This window comes from Homo sapiens, chromosome 10 (genome assembly GCF_000001405.40).
Source record: "Homo sapiens chromosome 10, GRCh38.p14 Primary Assembly".
NCBI classification, from domain to species: Eukaryota; Metazoa; Chordata; class Mammalia; order Primates; family Hominidae; genus Homo; species Homo sapiens.
Genome location: NC_000010.11, coordinates 121485744 through 121506593, shown reverse-complemented (window position 1 = coordinate 121506593; position 20850 = coordinate 121485744). Strand labels below are relative to the sequence as shown.

The window sequence follows — 20850 nt, the reverse complement described above, 5'->3', positions numbered from 1 at the left end:
CTGGGTGTTAACGTCATCCAGGACTGCGGTCCCAAGCAATTGCTTAATCGGTTCCCACTCCTCTATTGATTGCAGCTTCCTATGCACCCCATAGTGGAATCCTGGAAACTGGTATCCAGTGATGAGGGGCTACGCTGCAGGCCATGCAGAGAGTGTTCTGGCTGTACAACCTGCCAGACCCTGGCCATTTGCGGAAGTCGTCCCATTGCTAGGCCTCTTTTTTTTTTTTTTTTTTTGAGACGGAGTCTTGCTCTGTTGCCCAGGCTGGAGTGCTGTGGTGCAATCTCAGCTCACTGCAACCTCTGCCTCCTGGGTTTAAGCGATTCTCCTGCCTCAGCCTCCCAAGTAGCTGGGATTACAGGCGCCTACCACCACAACCGACTCATTTTTTTTATTTTTAGTAGAGATAGGGTTTCACCATGTTGGCCAGGCTGGTCTCAAACTCCTGACCTCAAGTGATCTGCCCACTTCCTCCTCCCAAAGTGCTGAGATTACGGCGTGAGCCACCGCGCCTGGCCGGCCGGTTCTTACTAGTTTGGCTGGAGCTTCTTGCCCATGATATCCTCAAGCATAAGGTCCCCCTGCAATGAGTGGTGATTTTTGCCTGTTCATGGGGAAGAACTTTCAGAAGACCTTCTTAGTCTTGAAAACACCTGCGTACTTAAGCATCCACAGCACACGGCCCTGATGCAGAATGAATTAGGAGGACAGAAAGATTTGGGGAAGCATCATTGGCCGTTAAACCCGCTCCTGAATCTTTCTGAGCTCTGTAGGTGGAGCTTGAGATGTTCCTGTGGACCAATGCAAACTGGAAGTCTTGATGTTCTCTGAAAGTTCCTGGCTTCTGATGTGTCCCGCAGACGAGGTTAGCTCACTACAGTGAGGTTGGATACCACATGGCGGGGACTTTAAAGTTGTCTGTTTCATCCAGGGTGGGGCTTATGCCTAGTCTGTGACCTCAGTGGGGAGCAGGACGGATTCCCCAGGAGCACCCACATTTACCTTCTCGTCTTTTCCCGCTTGCTTCTGCCATTTGCTTGTGCAACCCAGACACTTGGGTGTGAGGATCTCAGCTCCACAATTAATGATTCTTTAGTTCCCGCTTTTAAAACATTTTGACCATACAATGAATAAATGTTGCTCATACTATCTGCATAATGAAGTTTAGGAATAACTGCCCCCTGCCAAAAGATTGAATGGAAGGCTCAGGAAGTGCTCATGTACGTTTTAAAAGATAATAGGAATTCTATGTGAAAAATGGCCCACTTCTTTATTTTAATACTGAAAACAACTTCCTAATCCTAAAATGATTTTCTTCCCCTAATCTATTCTTGGGCATCTTCTTGAATTTCCAGCCTGCTTTGAGGGAAGTCTGGGTTTACAAAGGCGAGATTCAAAGCTTTTCAAACAGGACAGGTCCTCTGGTTCCCTGTGAGAAGAGCCCAGGACCCACCCTGTGAAAGTTCATCCCACCTAAATTTGTTCATCTGGACTCAGTCTTTGCCAGTGTGATTGAAGGCGTTTGTAAGCACATCCAGGAGTACTATCCACCTGGGCAGTCACGCAGGAGACAGAGCCCAGGGTGGGCTAGTTGCCTGCTTGGAGATGGATCGTGGTTAACTTCACATTCTTGTTCTCTTGGGCCAAAGTCTTGTTCATGGTTTAGAATAAGACAGTGTTCAAGCAGCCTGTGGTCAGACTAAGATTGCGTAGTCATCCTCAAAAGTGGCCTTCCAGTGTGCTCTGTGTGAGTCTTTTTTTTTCCATAGAAACCAGCCAAAGGACAGTGATATATTTAAGAAATAATCATTTTATCAGACACACTGAAATGGATCAGGATAAACAAGAAAGTAACTCGGTGGAGCCCTGTGTACTGCCAGGTGGGAGAGGAGTTCTCTTGTGTGGTTATGGGAAAAGGTGTATTTTCTTTCCATTGATGCTTCATCCCACGTGTTTAGTGCACTGGTTTCTGAAACCGAAGACAAGAGGCAGCCCATTTCCACTGAATAGCCTGGCCATCAATAAGTTTCCAGAAGGACTGGGGAGAAACAAAGAATGGCCCCCAATGCTGGGGTCTGGGGTTATTTTGAGTTAAAGGGACTCGGAGCTACTGAATGTCTTCCACATTCAAGTCCTAGAACTCTTTCCTTGAGATATTCCACTTTACATTTCCAAAGACAGAGGAAATATGGTAGAGCCAATTTCCTAAAAGTTTTCGTAGAATTTCATAAGCACAGCATTGATCCATGATCCGGGTGGTCTGAGAGGGGATCCATTATCCAGGGCTCCAGTACAGGTGCAGGTACAACCATAAAGGCACTAATGAAGCCAGAGAGGACTGTCTGCATGTCCTCAAGTGACTCTCTGGAGGAATTAGGACAGAAAGAAAATTTACATTGTGATCAGATGGTATAGAAAAATTTCATAGAAAAACCTGAACATAGGAACATAAAATTTGGATGAAATCTGGTACTGCATGGACTGGAGGGCAGAGGAGTTAGATTCCAGTGGTTTTCTAATTTGGTTTCTGACTTCTGCCAGCCCCCAACCCATTCCTTTCTAAGATTCGATACTCTGGCTGGGCTCTGGCTGACTTCCAGCCTTCTCAGATGGAGCCAGGATTACATCTGTGTCTTTGCATTTTGTATCCAGGTTTCGGCTGAGTCCAGCTCCTCCATGAACTCCAACACCCCGCTGGTGAGGATAACAACACGCCTCTCTTCAACGGCAGACACCCCCATGCTGGCAGGGGTCTCCGAGTATGAACTTCCAGAGGACCCAAAATGGGAGTTTCCAAGAGATAAGTGAGTACTTCTCTTGGCCATGTCCCAGGATGGAGACTCAGCTATAAATGGGGATATTGGATTAACATTTTCTTTTTATGACCCTTAGCCACAAAGGTCTTGGTGTGATGATGTCAGCAGGAGTAAGATTGTATTTCTAAATAACCAACTCCTGGAAAAGAAAAAAATGGATTTAAAAAAAAAAATAACTCCTTGAAAGCAGAGCTACTTGCCCCTGGCTGGTCCCCAAAGAAGATGGCATCTGGTTATCATTTTTTAAGTGTCTGGGCAATTCAGACTCCGTCAAATGGAATAAAAGTAGAATTATCCAATTTATAAAACAGATCTGACATTCTAGCTTTTGGTTACTAGAACAAGACTGTTCTCTGTTCACTTCTGTGGAGAAATTAGATGCAGAATATAAATGGCCTTAAGGACCGCTACCCAGTGTTGCTGTTCTCATTGGTTATTAATGTCATATTGGGCTGAAAAGCTTCAAATATGGTACCTGACATCTAATTTCTGTGATCCATAATATTTTCCTTGTTGGATGATACAGAGGTGTGCCAATCAGATGTTTAGTCAAAATATGGCCACCTGGGTGGTGTTGGGGCTACGTATCTCTTGGTCTCGCTTGAACTCCACGTACTGGAGCTCCGTTGGGCTGCATTTGAATCCTGGCTTTGCCAGACAGTGGCTGGGCAACCTCGGGTGAGGCACCTGATTCTCTGAAATTCATTCTCATAAAATGAGGGTGGTGGTTCAGACCTCCCAGGACTGAGCAGAGTTCTTGGCTTGTGCGAGTTTTCCTTTCATTTCCCTTCACGTGGTGGTAACCTGGGAGCTCTGAACTGCAAACCTCAGCAGGATCATCGTGTGGGGCATGGAGTCAGTGGGCAGAATTTGAGCTCCTAGCCCTCGTCCTCTAGGCAGGGACCGACCCCTAGATCCTCCTTATGAAAGGAAGTGCAGTGGTCATTGTAGGGCTGTCCACTCACTTCTGGGGTACTTTTTGTCGTCACAGCTTGAGAGTACGGGAAGGTGGAAATGCTGACTACTTCTGCATCACATACACTGGAATAAGCTCTTGACTTGCTTATAAGCAGCTACCCTGTTTGCCTTGACATTTTCAGTAGCTCCTCAGATTATATACACTTCTCATGTGTACCTATACACATTTGGAAATGCAAAGATAAGCTCTTCCAGAGACTGATCTGATGAGCTCTATTTGGAAGGGAGAGGTAGCTTATGTGGCTGGCACTTCTGATTTTGATTCACGTGATGTCACATCAGTTTTGTTTCCCAAGTGCCAATTTAGAGATGTGTACCGTTAGCTAGGACTGAATAATTGTATGGATATTATTTGGTTAGAGTGTTAATGGAAGTAATTTCCAGTTGATTTGTATACTGTAGTGAAAAGACCACTCACTCATTCACTTATTCATTCACTCAAGGCATGTTAATTGGACATTTACTGGTGGGGCACCAGAGAAAACACAAAGAATGGTTTCTTTACCTGTAGGATGTGGAGAAATGGATGTTTCTTGTGAACTCCGCCAGCCCTAGTTTGTGTGTGATTATATACACAGATAGGTTCATGTGCACATTCCTATATATATAACTGAACTGGGGAGTTGTGATCATATTTTAAGAAATTGCAGCTTTCGGGTTTAGTCCATAGTTTTTGCCACCTGTGACACCACAGTCAACAGTGGAAGTCTGTATGTGCCCAACTGTTACCTCCCACCCGGGGTACCCTGAGTGTGGAAAATCTGAGTGCTAAACATTTCAAAACAGTGTTTAGCGCAAACGTAGGTGGAACAGATTTCCAATGAATGAAGGCTATTTAGAAGCAGTTTATTAGATCGGAGGCAGAAGTTATACAAAGAAAGGATTGTTATGCTTGTAGTAGCAAGGCGGTGGGACATAAATTAGCCATTTTTCCAATGCAAATATTTATTTTCTGCCAAGATGTTAAATTTAATTTTCGTTCTGGGTAGAAACAAAATGACCTCAGCATAGCACATGCTGCCCTTAGTCTTTATGCTGCACTTTTGCAAACTATTGTGTACTTACCTTAAATACTGTTTACTAATGGCAGCTCCATGCTTTGCTGTGTTATGCTTAAGTTAGAAAGAGCCGTATTCATAAGTATTCCAAAGACTTTTGCGTTTTGTTGGTTTCTGGAATGCACAAGGACAATATATGGCTATTCGTCCGATGTGCATAGACCTTGTAATCTTAGAAATTTAATTTGTGGTGTTCACTTTGGATTTTCTTCATTGTTAATTTTATGTAGTCATAAGGACTTTTAAACTTATGTCAAAAAAAAAGTCCCCAATTTTTTAGAATTTTCTTTTTAGTAAAAAATTAGAGATTCCTTGAAATGCTTTTAAGAGGCATATCCTGTAACTTGGCAAGGAATGTGACCATAAAATCCATTGGTATTTGAATAATAATTTTAAAGCCACCATTTTACAGGGACAAAAAAATAAGAACAGTCTTAACGTTTTTTCTTTGAGCCATTCTAAATTACAAATATTTAATTGGCTCAAGATCAAAAGCTCTTCTCTGGCACTTAGGAAAGCTGACCACCGCACTAGCAAGGATACCTTCCCTAAAGAAAATAAACCGAGAATACCAATGTGAAATTTAATAGCCGTTCCACCAGTAATTGACATTCTCTAAAACGTCACTAGGAAAATACTCAGGCGCGTGTGTACCCTAAGTCTCATTAGTTCCATATGATAAGCACTCCATGCTTTAGTAAGCCGCTGAAAGATTTTTATATTTAGTTCTGGAATTTCCCTCACTACACCCCATCACCAGATGCTATGTGCTAATCCCCTATTTACACATTTAGGCTGACACTGGGCAAGCCCCTGGGAGAAGGTTGCTTTGGGCAAGTGGTCATGGCGGAAGCAGTGGGAATTGACAAAGACAAGCCCAAGGAGGCGGTCACCGTGGCCGTGAAGATGTTGAAAGGTGAGCGGGGAGGCGGGAGGCTCGGGGAGGGGCTGGGTGGAGAGTCTTATCAAGAAAGTTCCTTTTGTGGCATGTGAACTCTATCATGGCACGGGGTCAGAGAGCACATAGTTGACCTAGGGGTTGAGAAGTTTTCGGTATAAATCAGCATCTCGGACAGACTATTTATCTTGAGCTGTGTGTACTTATAAAGAAAAGCCAGTTTTGTTAGAAAGCGGTAGCCTCCTACATAGAGTTATTCTTTGACTCCTTCTTCGTGACCACAATTCTTCATTCTCTCTGTATTTTTATGTGCTTAGAAATTATCAACTCACATATAATTGAATTTATTAGCTAGGAGTTGGTGTGTTAGATTTGGGACTTAAACCTTAACTTTACAAGTACAAGAAAATTTGTGTTTTTGGAGGGAACGAAGAGACGTAAGGGAGCAGAAAGCCTTCTCTTTTGCGTGAGGAACAAAGCAGAAATGACACTGGTCTGGGAGAGTCACTTAGAAGCTGAGAAGGAGTGAACAGGATCAGGGCTGGTGCAGAGCCTCCTGGGACACATAAACAATTACCCTGAGATGTAAATGTCGTGTTGTGTTTGTGGGACTGTGAACACTTCTACGTTAACCTTCCAACCCTGCTTCATGCCCATGTCCAAAGAACTTAAAGAACTTTTAACCATTAACTTATTCGTCCTGCAGTATTCTTTTATGAGAAGAGTTATAGGGAACTGTCACATTATAAATCCTCTTGTAGGGATCTCGGAAAGAAGATCCCATGCCGAGTGTTTCCCACGTTTCCAGGCAGAGAGGCCCATCCTTGGGATATGGTGCTGGGCATGTCGCAGGCGCTCTGGAGTTAGGCTTTGTCTTTCTTTTGTGGGTTCTCATGGGATAGTCATCACATCCCTCCCAAGGGGAAGTAGCAGGCTGGACTTTGTCAACAAGATGTGCATTTTGTTTTTTGGGTTTTTTAAAAGGCTGTTTATCTGAGTGACTCCCAAGGAAAACTAGAGTGCTTTGAGATGTTCCCCACCTTGGAGCCTGATGCCGGGGAGGAACACTGTGCTGTCTTGCCCCAGGTGTCATGGCACCACTGACTGAGGCAGCCCCTGGCTGCGTACCAGGGCCAGGTGTGGGGAGGACCCAGGCTTCTCATCTCTTTTGGCGGAACTTCTGGTTTTGCTAATGGAGCTCAGAGTTACATGGGATATTGCAAAAAGGGAGGTCTGGGAGTTCTCTTTCTCTTGTGATGCCCAGGCTGGCAGCCTTCCCTGTAAGGACACAGAAGGATATTAGTCCCCAAGCCATTGTGGCGTGTCCTTTCTTACAGCCCACGGCTGTGTCTCCCTCCCTCCTCATGGCCCGTGGCTCCCTCCTTCACATACATCAGTGTAAATTTTGCACACACAGTCACTTGTATTGATCTTCCTTTTGTGAAGCTAAAAAACTGTTTGCAACATGGTTCTTATCCATGCCCATATTTCATTTTTTTTTTAAAGGAAACCCAGATTTTTCCATACTGAATTAGCTTGAGGTGGAGGGCACATGGGAAAGTCTTGCCACTTAGGAGAATCTAAGAGAAGCTAACTGCGAGCCCGCGTATGTGGAACCTGTGCCATTCTTGCTTGAAATTACAGAGCGGAAGTTTATGTAACTTTTCTTAGGATGGGAACTGCAGTGCCCTCTGAGAAGCCACTAGAAGTCGCAGCCCTTTACCTGCTCAGAATGCACATGCACACACGTTTATGGCCCTGTTTATGGGGAACCGTCTGAACCCACCTCGGAACGCTCTAAGGGCCTCGAGGGGCTGGGTTAAGAATGCTTGGTCGGGAGCAAGTCTGTAGTGATTTGAAATGGCCCTACCCTCGGTCTCCTCGCTGGTTTCAGGCACCATGAAGTTTGGTGTGGTTTTCTGAGACGCCTTAGATATGGCAGAGGATGAGATTATCTCATGGTCTAGGAAAGAATTGGCATTAGTGTCAGAAGCCCCTGCTCTCGTCCTGACTCTTGGCCCCATTGGCCCCCCAGTGAGCTCTTTGACACAGAGTGAGGCAGTTCCCTGTGTAGGCCTTTGTCCCTTCCTCGATAAAATGAGGGAGATGATTTGGAAAATCTTTTCTGATTCTGAAATTCAATTTCATGCTGTTTCAACTAAGTCTTTGGCAACTAACAGTAGCTGCCCATGAGTTAGAGGAAATGAACTGATTTGTGAATATGCCTACTGTTCATAGATGATGCCACAGAGAAAGACCTTTCTGATCTGGTGTCAGAGATGGAGATGATGAAGATGATTGGGAAACACAAGAATATCATAAATCTTCTTGGAGCCTGCACACAGGATGGTGAGTAGGAGGAAAAACTGCATTCGCCCAAATACTCTGCAGTTTGATTGAATCATTTTAGAAATGGCTGGGCTTCCAGATCCTGCTCCCAGAGCACCCTGTGTGCATGTTTAAAGTTCTTTTTAAAATCCCCATTGGAAGATGTTCCTAGCCATGAACACAAAGAAGGGTCTGTGCCCGTACCTGGGGGCCAGTGGAAAGGAGGGTGCAGGTGACTTTGGATTTGAGGGCCTAGAGGGCGCTGCTGTTTCTAGGTCATAACCTGGAGGGGGTTTTGGAAAAGGCAGCCTCCTTATGTTTTTGTTTTGTAAGTGCTAAGAGAGATTTGTCAGAATAAGATCCTATGTTTTGGTTGAGAAGTTCTTCCCTTAAAACAGGGATTGAAGAATCCACATCTTGCTGTGGGTCACAGATGGCTGAGCTCCCAAGAATAGCTTAAAAGAGGAGAAAGCGGTATGAAGGAATACGTTATTTTCCCTGGGGGAGAGAGACCCTGGCTTCTTCCATTGAATGTTTACTGGCACTTTGAAATCAATTTGCTAAGTAATTAGTAAACTTGAAAACGCCTATCTTTGACTTAGCAATTTCTCTTGTAGGTCTATATAGTAATTGGTGAACTTTTTCTGTAAAGGGAGGTCGTAGATATTTTAGACTTTTGTGGGCCGTATGGTCTTTGTCGCAACTTCTCGTGTCTGCCATAGTAGTGAGAAAGCAGTGCTAGAAGTACAGAAATGAATGGACCTGGCTGCATGCCAATAAAATTTAATTACCCAAACAGGCGGTAGGCAGGATTTGGCTTGCAGGCTGTAGTCTGCCAACCCCGAGCCTATACCATGGAGAAATTATTGCACACGTGTGTAAGGGAACATGTACAGAGATGTTCATTGCCTACTGTTTGTTATGGCTGAAACCTGGAAGCAAATGCCTATGCATATAAGGGAATGGATAAATAAAGTGTGGTGTGTTTATACGATACAGTATATGCAGCTGTGAAAAGGAATGATCTGGTTTTGTTTTTATAAGCCCAACAGGTTCCAAAAGGATAATGTATGGGTAAAAAATGTTGCAAAGATCTAAGAGCTTTATTATTCATTTATGTGATTAAAAATAATATATTACTTATTGAATAGTTAAAATGAACCAAAAGGATAGAGTGGAGGGATCCATTGCTTTCCAAGAGGGCGCAGGTGACAGCATGAGAGTGACAGGGAAGAGCACGTCAACTGTGTCTCTGTGCCTTTTGAGGCTATCATGACCAAGGGCTTATTTATCATTTTGGAGAGATTATAATCATATTTTTATGTGTGCTTTTCTGTATGTTAAAACTTTTTCTTTTTTCTTCTTCTTTTTTTTTTTTTTTTTTTGAGACAAAGTCTCGCTCTGTTGCCTAGGCTGCAGTGCAGTGGTGTGATCTCGGCTCACTACAGCCTCCACCTCCTGGGTTCAAGCGATTCTCCTGTCTCAGCCTCTCAAGTAGCTGGGACTATAGGTGTGTGTCACCATGCCCAGCTAATTTTTGTATTTTTAGTAGAGACGAGGTTTCGCTATGCTGGCCAGGCTGGTCTTGAACTCCTGGCCTCATGTGATCCACCTGCCTCGGCCTCTGTAAGGGCTGGGATTACAGATATGAGGCACCACGCCCAGCCGCTGTATGTTAAACTTTAAAAAAAAAAAAAAAAGCATGGGTTGTAATAACTAAAAATGTTTTGCTGAATTGCCCAAGGGGAGACCCTGGATTCTCTCTTTAGGGAGCTTCTCTTCTTCCTCAACAGGGCCTCTCTATGTCATAGTTGAGTATGCCTCTAAAGGCAACCTCCGAGAATACCTCCGAGCCCGGAGGCCACCCGGGATGGAGTACTCCTATGACATTAACCGTGTTCCTGAGGAGCAGATGACCTTCAAGGACTTGGTGTCATGCACCTACCAGCTGGCCAGAGGCATGGAGTACTTGGCTTCCCAAAAAGTGAGTCTTTCACATTCTACTTGGCTGGGTGGAATCCAACTAAAAATGTCTTTAAAGAAAACAGGCAATTTGGACATGCTCATTTGCTAGATCAAGCCCTCGCATGTCTTGTACAACCTGGAAAATATTTATTGCGTTATTCCCATTTGAGTTTAATGAACTGTTTAAAACCAAAGCAGCCTCATAAACCTATAGCATCGCTGCAGAGATGAGCAGAAAAGATACCTCTTCTTTGAGACAGGACCATGTGTGATTTCCCTCGGAATTCAGCTCTCCAGGTGGGAAATGGATGGTTTTAAAGGCCCCCTTTAATTCGGATGATTTTCTTTCTTTCTTTTTTTTTTTTCTTAAGCTTCATTTATTTTGTGGTTACTGAGTTTTTGAACATAGACTTTAGGTGTTTAGTGTTTTGGGTTTGATATGGCATTAAATATTCTAAGAGTAAAGGTCAAACAAAGGGGTATTTTAGTAACCTTGCGTCCTGGAGCTCTGCGTTTATTTTGCCTCGTTTGGCGGGTGACCCTCTGTGGTTAGAAGTTGGCCAGGTCCCCTGAGGTGGACTGCCTGCATTCCAGGCGTGCCACTTACCGTGGAACTTGAAACATTTCAGTTATTCTGAGAGTAGTTAGACAGGTGCCCAGATGTCCTCGGAGGCATTTTGGATGACCCAAAACTCCCTTGTCAGCCCCACACATAGGGAAGCGGAGGGGCGGAGCTGCCTCCTGTGCAGAGGTGGGCCTTGCTCCTACCTGCATTGCAGTTTATTGCAGTGCCAGGAATTCCTTGGGTCCCCAAAGAGGTGAGATCCTCTGGTCGGCGTGCACCCTCTGTCACTGGGGGTCTGGGTTGCCTGAAGAGTCACAAACTCAAGTCTCCATGGGGCCATGCCAGTCACACCACCAAGGCCTGCGGATCACTCAGAGTGCAGAGATTCGAGGGATGGCTGCACCTCAGCTCTACTCTCTGGCCACATAGGAACATGGCCCAGAGCTACCCCATGTTCTGGATGGTTTTTTCTTTCTTTCAAACAGGCTGGAGTGCCGTGGCATAATCACAGCTCACTGCAGCCTTGACCTCCTGGGTTCAGGTGAGCCTCCCACCTCAACCTCCTGAGTAGCTGGGAGTACGAGGATGTGCCACCATGCCTGGCTAAGTTTTGTGTTTTTTGTTTTTTGTTTTGGTAGAGACGGGGTTTTGCCTTTTTTCTTTTTAATTTAAGAAAAACTTTAAAAACATTTTTTCAGGAGAGTTTAGAGTTTAAGACTTTTTCAGATCTTTTTCGTATAAAAATCTCCCAATATATAGGTTTTGGGAAACTAATTAAACACAGTTTTGACTTCTGTGATTGTGTTTACGTACACGTGCGTGTGTGTGCGTGTATGTAGGGTAGTTTGCCAATCTATTTGGCATCCAGAGACAACCAGACAGATCCAGAACATGGGACATTTGACAAGATATCGCTTCCAAATGTCAGTGTCTCGAAAGACAAAAACTGCTGGGGAGACGGTTCCAGATAAAAGGGGGCCGATGAGACAATTCCTAAGTGTAAAAGTGGGATCCTGGACTGGATCCTGTGGGTCGGGGAGGGTGGCCAGTTCTTAGAAAGGACATTTGTGAGTGTCCTTTGAATATGGACTGTATAATATTACTGGTTATATTTCTGTATCAGTGTTGAATTTGCCGGGGGTGGTGACAGTGGTATCTGTTGTAGGAGAAATACGCTGAAGAATTGAGATTTGTGAAGTATCAGTGATGCCTGCAGCTCAGTTTTAAGTGGTCCAGCCATAAAATATAATCAATCCATTCACTATCCCAAGTGTGTATGTGTGTGGGGGCAGGTGGGGCAGGACATGGAGACAGCAAGTGATTGAGTAGGTGTAACAAGCAAACCCAGCAGTGGTGGATACTCACTGTGCCATCCCTCCTTTTCTGCAGCTGTGAACTCTTCCTAAATAAGCCTGGGGAGGGTAGCCCATCTGTAGGCTGCCTATTTTGATATTCTGGTCTTGATCACTCCCTGCCCTACCTGTGTGGGAGATAGGGGAAGCAGTTTTGCACCCAGCAGGGTGGTGCTACTAGGGGAAATGTGGTAGGAGGGCTGGCTCAGTCATTTTATTAAATCCTTCAACATCTACTCCTAGAGCACCCCCGATGTCTCATGCCCTTGGTCAGGCTCTCCAGCGAAGTGGCCAGAAGAGACATAGTCCTTGACCTCCTGGGGCAAGAACCATGGGTGACAGTAAGAGAAATTGACTGTAAATGTGGGAATGAAAATAAGGTTGTAAAAAAATATTGAAAAAGGTGCCATGGAGGAAACAGGGGGATAAGGCCTTACTCATGCCAGGACGCTGCACTTTGCTGTCACTGCCATGGAAGCCTCTGAGGGGGAGGAAGAGGATCAGTTAGTGCTTCAAAAATGCCTCTCACTGCTGCTTGTGTGGTGAATGGGAAGGCTGAGCCCCTGTCAAAGGTGATGATGGTTTGGGCTAGGGTCTGTTGGGTCCAAAGACACCGAGAAAAGCTGGTGGGCTGATGTTGGACATATTTTGCTCTTGGGATAATGAATGGATTGATTAGATAGGAGGGAGAGAAAGAGAGATCAAGGGTGACTTCTGGATTTCCAGCTTGAAAAACTGGATGGTGGTGCAGCTTCCAAGTCTGGGAGGACTTGGGAATCAGGGCTGGGGCAGGGGGCATAGATTTGGGTGGAAAATCCGAGCTCGTCTTGAGCGTATCTGAGTCATCCAAGGGGAGATAATGAAGAAGCTGCAGGCAGCAGCTCAGCTCTGAGGGTGGGCTAACAGCTGGGAGGCAGCAAAGGGAGCTGTGAGTTCAAGCCATGGGCGTGGACAAACTCATCTGCGGAGAAGCTTGGAAGAGGAGAATAGAAGCCTGAAGTCAGGTCCTGAGAAAATTCTCAAATCTAGAGATTGACTGAAAGCACCAGAAACAGCAGCGGAGGCCGAGCAGGCACAGCCTGAGCAGTAGGAAAATCAGGACACGGAGCACAGAGGCCCCACATGGGAGCTTCAGGAAGGAGGGGGCAGGTAGTAGAGCCTCGGCGCTCAGACTGGTGAGAAGCACGGGTGTTGAGTCCTGGTCCTAGAGGCAGTGGTGGTACCCCTGCCCACCCTAGCCCTGAGGACCCAGAGCTCCTTCCTGTTTTGGAGCTGGCAGAGAGAAAACTAAGAGACGAACTTTGCTAAGCAGGGCAAATGCATCCATTTAATCGTGGAAGAACGGAAGTACCCATATTAAAGTGTTGTGATAATAGTAACTATCGTTATTATTAATTACTGACCCCTCCGGGAGAAGCTAACCATCTTCCAGGCACCGTGGCAGAGCATTTGACATAAAGCATCTTACGTAGCCCTCAGAACAACCCGGAAATAGGTGGGATTTGGATCCCCATTGTATGGGGGAGGACGATGAGGAAGCAGCATGAATGGTTTGAGACCAGATGTGTCAGGAGGACTCAGATGTCCTCACTTCTGAGAAGCGGACTTGTAGGTCTGAAGAGTGGAGTGGCAGGTCCCAGACCTAGGTCTCCTGGTCCCCCACTCAGCTGTCTCCTGCTCTCATGAGGCCCCTAACTCTCTCTAAACTGAGGCAAGACCAATGAGATTCCACGTGGGGGGCGGGTGAGGGGTTGTTTAGTGCCCCAGTGTGGCCTCATTGTCTCTACATTGAATAACAGCCCAAGGTAAAAGGGATATTGTATGGGCCTTTAAGACATGGCATGGTTCCAAAGCCACTTACTGGAGGCCACCTGCAGTTAAGGACCCAGAATAGGTTTGAAAATGGAGGTAGATGAAGATGTTAAGCATGGTCCCCTTGCGAGGGCTCTGCTTCCAAAAATGGAGGGCTTATTCTTGAAAGTGGAGAATGAAGAACCAGGCAAAGGGTCCGGCCCTGGCTTTCCCACACCCATCCCCTCACAATGGGGAGCCATGGGCTTGTGAGAGACCTGCTTGCCTGAAGGAAGGGGCAAAAGAGAACTGTTGATTACATCGTTACTGATGTACTGGGTTCATCTGTGCTCAGCGCTGGGCCGATTGAGATGAACACACAGTGCCTGGCCTCCAGCAGCTTTCAGTTGTGTGTGTACATGTGTGTGTGTGCGTGAGTGTGTGAGTGTTGGGGTAGGGGTTGGGGATTGGAGACAGAGAAGTGAAAAAACACCATGGTGTATATAGCAATGCAATTAGGTAATAGGGTATTTGAGCCTTACACAATTTATAAAATCCTTACTATTTTTAGCTCAAATCACACTAATTTTACTTTTTTAACCAAATCCCAAACCCAGTTAACCCTCAAAGTGTTAAACCTGAGCAGTTTGTTTTTCGTTTTTGTTTTTGAGACAGGGTCTCACTCTGTCACCTGGCTGGAGTGCAGTGGCGTGATCTTGGCTCACTGCAGCCTTGGCCTCCTGGGTTCAAGTGATTCTCCCACCTCAGCCTCCTGAGTTGCTGGGACTACAGGCATGTACCACCACACCTGGCTATTTTTTGGTAGAGACGGGGTTTTACCATACCATGTTGGCCAGGCTGGTCTTGAACTCCTGACCTCAAGTGATCTGCCCACCTCAGCCTCCCAAAGTGCTGGGATTACAGGCATGAGCCACTGCGCCTGGCCCTGAGCAGTTTTTTTTTTTTTTTGGTTGAGACAGAGTCTAGCTCTTTTGCCGAGGCTGGAGTTCAGTGGCGCTATCTCGGCTCACTGCAGCCTCTGCCTCCCAGGTTCTAGCGATTCTCCTGCCTCAGCCTCCCAAGTAGCTGGGACTACAGGCGCTTGCCACCACGCCCGGCTAATTTTTTGTGTTTTTAGTAGAGATGGGGTTTCGCTGTGTTAGCCAGGGTGGTCTCCATCTCCTGACCTCGGGATCCGCCTGCCTTGGCCTCCCAAAGTGCTGGGATAACAGGTGTGAGCCACCACGCTCAGCCTGAGCAGTTTTTTTAGTGAAGCCCCAGCTTCCCCACCTGTAAAATGGGTATAACACTATCCATGTCATAGGTTGCCGCAGGAATTCGATGTCATCAGCCATACTGGGCACAGGGCATACTGTCTACATCATAGGGATGTTGGTCTTCCTTCCCTTAGTGACCCACTGACCTTCACCTATGGAACACCAAACTGTCCCAGGGCCCTAATTGTATAAAATGGTCAGCTCCCTGTGCTGGAGAACGGCTGACATTCCTGTGGATGACGGGGATTTGGCTTGCCTTTGATTACTTTCTTTTTCTCGGGTGTGGGTTCCAAGTCTCCTCTTATTCAACCCAGAGGCTGGGGTTTGATGTTTCCTAGCCCCTGGGATGAGGGATGGCCACGCTAGACTCTGGCTTTCGCTGAGAAGATGGTGGAGGGAGCCGTCAGCAGTGTCTCTGTGCAAGCTGAGCCCTAATGCATAGTTGGAGCCCAGTGCGTGGGAAGCACATTCTTCTGACCACACAGCTTGCCAGACACACAGAGCGCGTGTCGGCAGGAGCACACCACCGGGAGAGTTTGGCCCGGGGCTTGGAAGTTCAATTTGAACAGGCCTCCAAAACTGGGAACAGGGCTGCAGCCCCAGACGAATCTCCAGGCAGCTTCTGTGAGCTCTCATGTTTCCTGCTTCCAACCTGGCCAGGGATTGCAAGCTTGCGTGGCTTTCTTGCTTTCCCGCTTCTGGGCTTAGGCTACCCGGGAGGCCCAGAAGTGTGTGAACACAAGGAATAGCTAGGGGTCGGGGTGGAATCAAATAATTCCTTATTTATATTTCAGGGATCACGTAGCTTGCCCCTTTTTTAATTGTCCATTTCGTGGAGTGCCTAAGATCGCCCCCATTTCAGCCTTGTTGAATGGACTGATAAGACTTTCTGCTTCGTATGATAGTTAACCTTTGCCAATAACCAGTGTAAAAGGCTTCGGTGGTGATATTTGCTTCTTTGTGTCTTATCTCTTCCCAAAATAGAAGGTGATGATTGGAGACCCTAATTACCTTGTATCTTGTGGAAATCTTGCTATATGAAAGTGTAACAAAAATGCAGCAGCTCACAGTAGCGTATCATTTGTAGAAAGGAAAAATCATAGGCCGGGCGTGGTGGCTCACGCCTATAATCCCAGTACTTTGGGAGGCCGAGGCGGGTGGATCACTTGAGGTCAGGAGTTTGAGACCAGCCTGACCAACATGGTGAAACCCTATCTCTACCAAAAATACAAAATTAGCCTGATGTGGTGGTGGGCACCTGCAATCCCAGCTACTTGGGAGGCTGAGGGCAGGAGAATCACTTGAACCTGGGAGGCAGAGGTTGCATTGAGCCAAGATCGTGCCACTGCACTCTAGCCTGGGAAACAAGAGTGAAACTCCGTCTCAAAAAAAAAAAAAAAAAAAAAAAAAAGAAGGAAAAGTCGTAATAGCTAGATCTTTCTGAGACCCAAGAGTTAGTGTCAAGACAATAAATTAGCTGTTCTGCAGCAAGTATTTAATATTTCAGTGTTTAGAATCAGTGTATGTGGCACATTCAGGCTGAGGCCAGGTGTTAGGAGAAACTGGACTGAGAACGTGGATAGACGGGCATTGGCCATGGTAGAGACCAAGAAAGGACATGACTAGTCATTTCAGGAACCTTAGTCATGGGACATGGAGGAGGTACAACAGGGCTAAGTTTGGAAGCGTAGAGACCCGCTAGACGGGCAGTGTGGAAGTCTCAGGGGGAGGGGCAGACAGTGAAGATGGCCTGGACTAAGGCATTAGCAGTGGGAAAGGCATGGTGTGGACACATGGGAAGGCATTTTGGAGTTGAAATCAACAGGACTTGGGAGGAATGTGTAAAGAATACCGGTGTATAGCTCTCCGATTAAGAGAGACAAAGCATTGGAGGAGTTGAAACCTTGAATTTGAGACGTCAAGGGAATGTCAGTGGGGAAGTGTCCCATAGACAGTTGAAAATGAGAACATGGGTCTCAGGAGGGAGGTCATGATGGAGATACGAACTTGCGCATATTTTGTATGTGTTTAGAATTAATGCCTTGAGGATATATGGAAATACATAAACTTAATGGAACAATTCCTCTATTTGAAGGGACAGAAAAAGAGAAGAGCCAGCCAGAGATTCTAAGAGGGCAGGGAGAGACAGAGAGGCAGCTGAGGGAAGGGGACGGGATAAAACTAAACAGAGGGGCTGGGTGTGGTGGCTTACACCTGTAATCCTAGCACTTTGGGAGGCCGAGGCGGATGGCTCACCTGAGGTCAGGAGTTCGAGACCAGCCTGACCGACATGGTGAAACCCCGTCTCTACTAAAAATACAAAATATTAGCCGGGTGTGGTGGCAGGCACCTGTAGTCTCAGCTACTCGGGAGGCTGAGGCAGGAGAATCGCTTGAACCCAGGAGGCGGAGGTTGCGGTGAGCCAAGATCGCACCATTGCACTCCAGCCTGGGCGACAAGGACAAGACTCCATGTTAAAACAAAAAAAACAAAAACAAGAAAACCTAAACAGAGGGACCATTTTAAAAAACAAGCAAGAAATCAATAGCATCTGAAGCCACAGAGGAGGAACAACTGAGGAGTTGGAGGACGTCATTTGCGTCTAACAATTCAGAGGTTCTTCATAAGCTTCAGGAGAGGCAAGAGTGGAACACAGATTAGAATGTTTGAGAAGTGACCAGGAATGAAGAAGACACAATGTTGGATTTTAACCAACGCTTCTGAAAATTCAGGTTTAAAGGGCAGGAGAGCAAGTGTTGAGAGAAAAGATTTTAGGATGATCAGATACAGATCTATAAGCAGCTGAAAGAAAGACACTGGTGTGGCTGGACAACTGGAGGTAGAAGAGAATATGGTTATTTAGTCTACCTTCGCTCTTCAAAATGATCATTCTATTTATTTATAATTCCAAAACAAATACATGTCGTGATCCAGGCTCTCCGATGATCCCAGTTGACCTGTCTTCTTAATCTTAGAGCCACACTGCGTTTTCTTTTCTTTTCTTTCTTTTTTTTTTTTTTTTTTTGAGACAGAGTCTCACTCTGTCACCCAGGCTGGAGTGCAATGGCGTGATCTCAGCTCACTGCAACCTCTGTCTCCCAGGTTCAAGTGATTCTTGTGCCTCAGCCTCCTGAGTAGCTGGGACTACAGGTGCACACCACCACGCTCGGCTAATTTTTGTAGTTTTAGCAGAGATGGGATTTTGCCGTGTTGGCCAGGCTGGTCTCGAACTACTGACCTCAAGTGATCCGCCCACCTTGACCTCCCAAAGTGCTGGTATTACAGGCATGAGCCACCGCACCCGGCCACACTGTATTTCTTATAGTATACCGCAACTGGTTTTTAACATCAGCTATATTTTCTATCTGCATTTTAAGAAATGAACATATTTCCTTTTTGTTCTGGCGGTGTTTTGAAATTAGTTATTTCTCTTGCTTCTTTCTTGATTTCAGTGTATTCATCGAGATTTAGCAGCCAGAAATGTTTTGGTAACAGAAAACAATGTGATGAAAATAGCAGACTTTGGACTCGCCAGAGATATCAACAATATAGACTATTACAAAAAGACCACCAATGTAAGTCGATGGCAGTAACACAGTGGGCAGGGGCGGGGGTGAGGCTCAGAATGTTCCAGGAAGAAAGGCCGTCAATGTTGAGAGCTGGGTGGGATGGCTGGGGACCCATTCCCCTGCCCCGATTCCCGTTCTTTTGACTTACTATTCACAAACTCTCAATATGCAAATTTAGCCTCTATTATGTCAATTTTAGTAAATGTGAAACACTTATATACAGAATAATCAGCAACCGCTAGGATTTTCTTATGGTTCTCATCAAGAACTTTCATAGCAAAAACTACAGCTTGGAAGTTACTGGTTTAATTTTTGCCTAATAACTGGTCAAGGAGCATCTGTGTGCTAGGGAGATAAAGGATAGAATCCAAGGAGATGGCATTTTATTAACGGCCCAGACCTGTGCATCTCACACATTGTTCATGGTCCTCATTGGGACTGATTTCTGCTCTATTGACTGACTAGTAAAAACCGAGAATATCAGCTCTTAAACAGGGCATAGCCCTATTGAGCCTGCTAAGATAAATTCTTTTAAATATATTTAGTTTTTGCATTTTCCTCTACATTTGCAGGGGCGGCTTCCAGTCAAGTGGATGGCTCCAGAAGCCCTGTTTGATAGAGTATACACTCATCAGAGTGATGTGTGAGTAACTCTCTTTTCTCTGGCTTTTTCCTGGGCTTGAGCTGCAAAAATACTGTACGTACTTCACCTTTCTTCCTTCTTTAGTGGCTGCTGCATTTCACACATTCGTAGAAGGTGCAGGAGCTGGCCTTAGAAAGGACAGATTTTATGGTAGGCTGATAACCAATGCTCTGTTACTAATCTGCCTGGCTTCAAAGAGCACAGAAGGTGGAACTGCTGACCTCCCCCTGCCAGAGCGGAAGTCCTTCCCTTGAACATATTCATGGATGTGCAACTACAAAGCGGTTATCTAATTCGCCAAGCTCTTGGCATGTTCTTCACTCCATTAAAGGAGTAATCCTGGAGCTTTTCCCACTTACGAGTAGTTTGTCATATTTCCCTCTAACCCAGATTTGTCCTTAAAGAGTGGAGCTGAGTGAGATGTGGTCCAGGCTGGGGACCTCCACAGGGTCTACTCTCTATGTTTATCCCTCAACAAAAAGGTCTGATCTTGCTTTGGCATCCTTGATAGCATTCTAGAAACACAGTAGAATATTTCTATTATGATATACTGACAAAACCAGTGGGGTCAGGCTCCAACTGATATTTTAGATTTGAAAATTCAGTTGAAGGCTGTGTGCAGTGACTCATACCTGTAATCAATCCCAGCACTTTGGGAGGGCAAGGCGGGTGGATCACGAGGTCAGGAGATCAAGGCCATCCTGGCCAACATGGTGAAACCCCGTCTCTACTAAAACTACAAAAATTAGCTGGGCGTAGTTATGCGTGTCTGTAATCTCCACTACTTGGGAGGCTGAGGCAGGAGAATCGCTTGAACCTGGGAGTCAGAGGTTGCAGTGAGCTGAGATTGTGCCACTGCACTCCAGCCTGGCAACAGAGCGAGACTCTGTCTGGGGAAAAAAAAATCACTTGAACTATTTTTTATTTGTATGAGCAGGAGGAGTTCTGGGTAGGCATTAATTCTGTGCTACCATAGTTGGTCCTCTCAACAATCCTAAAAAAAAGACATGACTATCCCATTTTTGCTGTGAGCAACTGAGGCACAGAGGCTGTTCTGCCTGTCCTGTGCTGCTGCTTTTGCTCTGTAGAAAACTGCGGAGTGAAACACCACCATCGAGTACAGAAGGTTGAGTTTCCAGAACGACCATGATGTAGCTAAACCTGGCTCTCTCAGCTTGCTCCTCCCAGAGATTGAGCCTCCTGAACTTGGCACAGGAAGTCCAAATCTCTGAAGAGTCAAGTGTAAATAAATTATGGCCTGTGAGATGTGTTCAGTTTTGTTGTGTGCAACTCATCTGGGGCATGTGATTCCTCATCCTAACCCCAGCCCAGTGCTGATTGCCTTTGCGATCTTAGTAAGTTCCAGAGCCTCTGTGCAGCAGATGTTCCGCCAGCCACACAGGGCAGCTGTGATCCTGCGGAGTTGGCTTGCTGGCCTTATTCTGTCAACTGCCCATCCTGGTAGATCACAACCCTTGGGTCAGGCACATAAGGAGTTGGAAAGGAGCGTAAAGGCTTTGAAACTGAGAAACTGAGATCCTTGCATTGCTAACACCACATTTAAGACAAGCAGCTCTATTCCAGAGTGATGGCAGTTTGCCTTTTTGTCT

The 20850-nt window shown here is 45.8% G+C and overlaps 1 protein-coding gene across 23 annotated transcripts in view; it reads left to right on the top strand.

Moving 5' to 3' along the window:
- Positions 1 to 20850, top strand: part of FGFR2 (fibroblast growth factor receptor 2) — a 120129-nt gene that overhangs the window by 91865 nt on the left and 7414 nt on the right. For all 23 annotated transcript variants that reach the window (NR_073009.2, XM_024447891.2, XM_024447890.2 and 20 more), the window contains 6 exons: positions 2653 to 2804; positions 5647 to 5768; positions 7989 to 8099; positions 9872 to 10062; positions 18481 to 18603; positions 19170 to 19240. Coding sequence is in view for 22 of the 23 variants with exons in the window: in XM_024447891.2 (XP_024303659.1) it covers positions 2653 to 2804; positions 5647 to 5768; positions 7989 to 8099; positions 9872 to 10062; positions 18481 to 18603; positions 19170 to 19240 (770 nt within the window). In the remaining variant the exon portion in view is untranslated. The remainder of the gene's footprint in view (positions 1 to 2652; positions 2805 to 5646; positions 5769 to 7988; positions 8100 to 9871; positions 10063 to 18480; positions 18604 to 19169; positions 19241 to 20850) is intronic.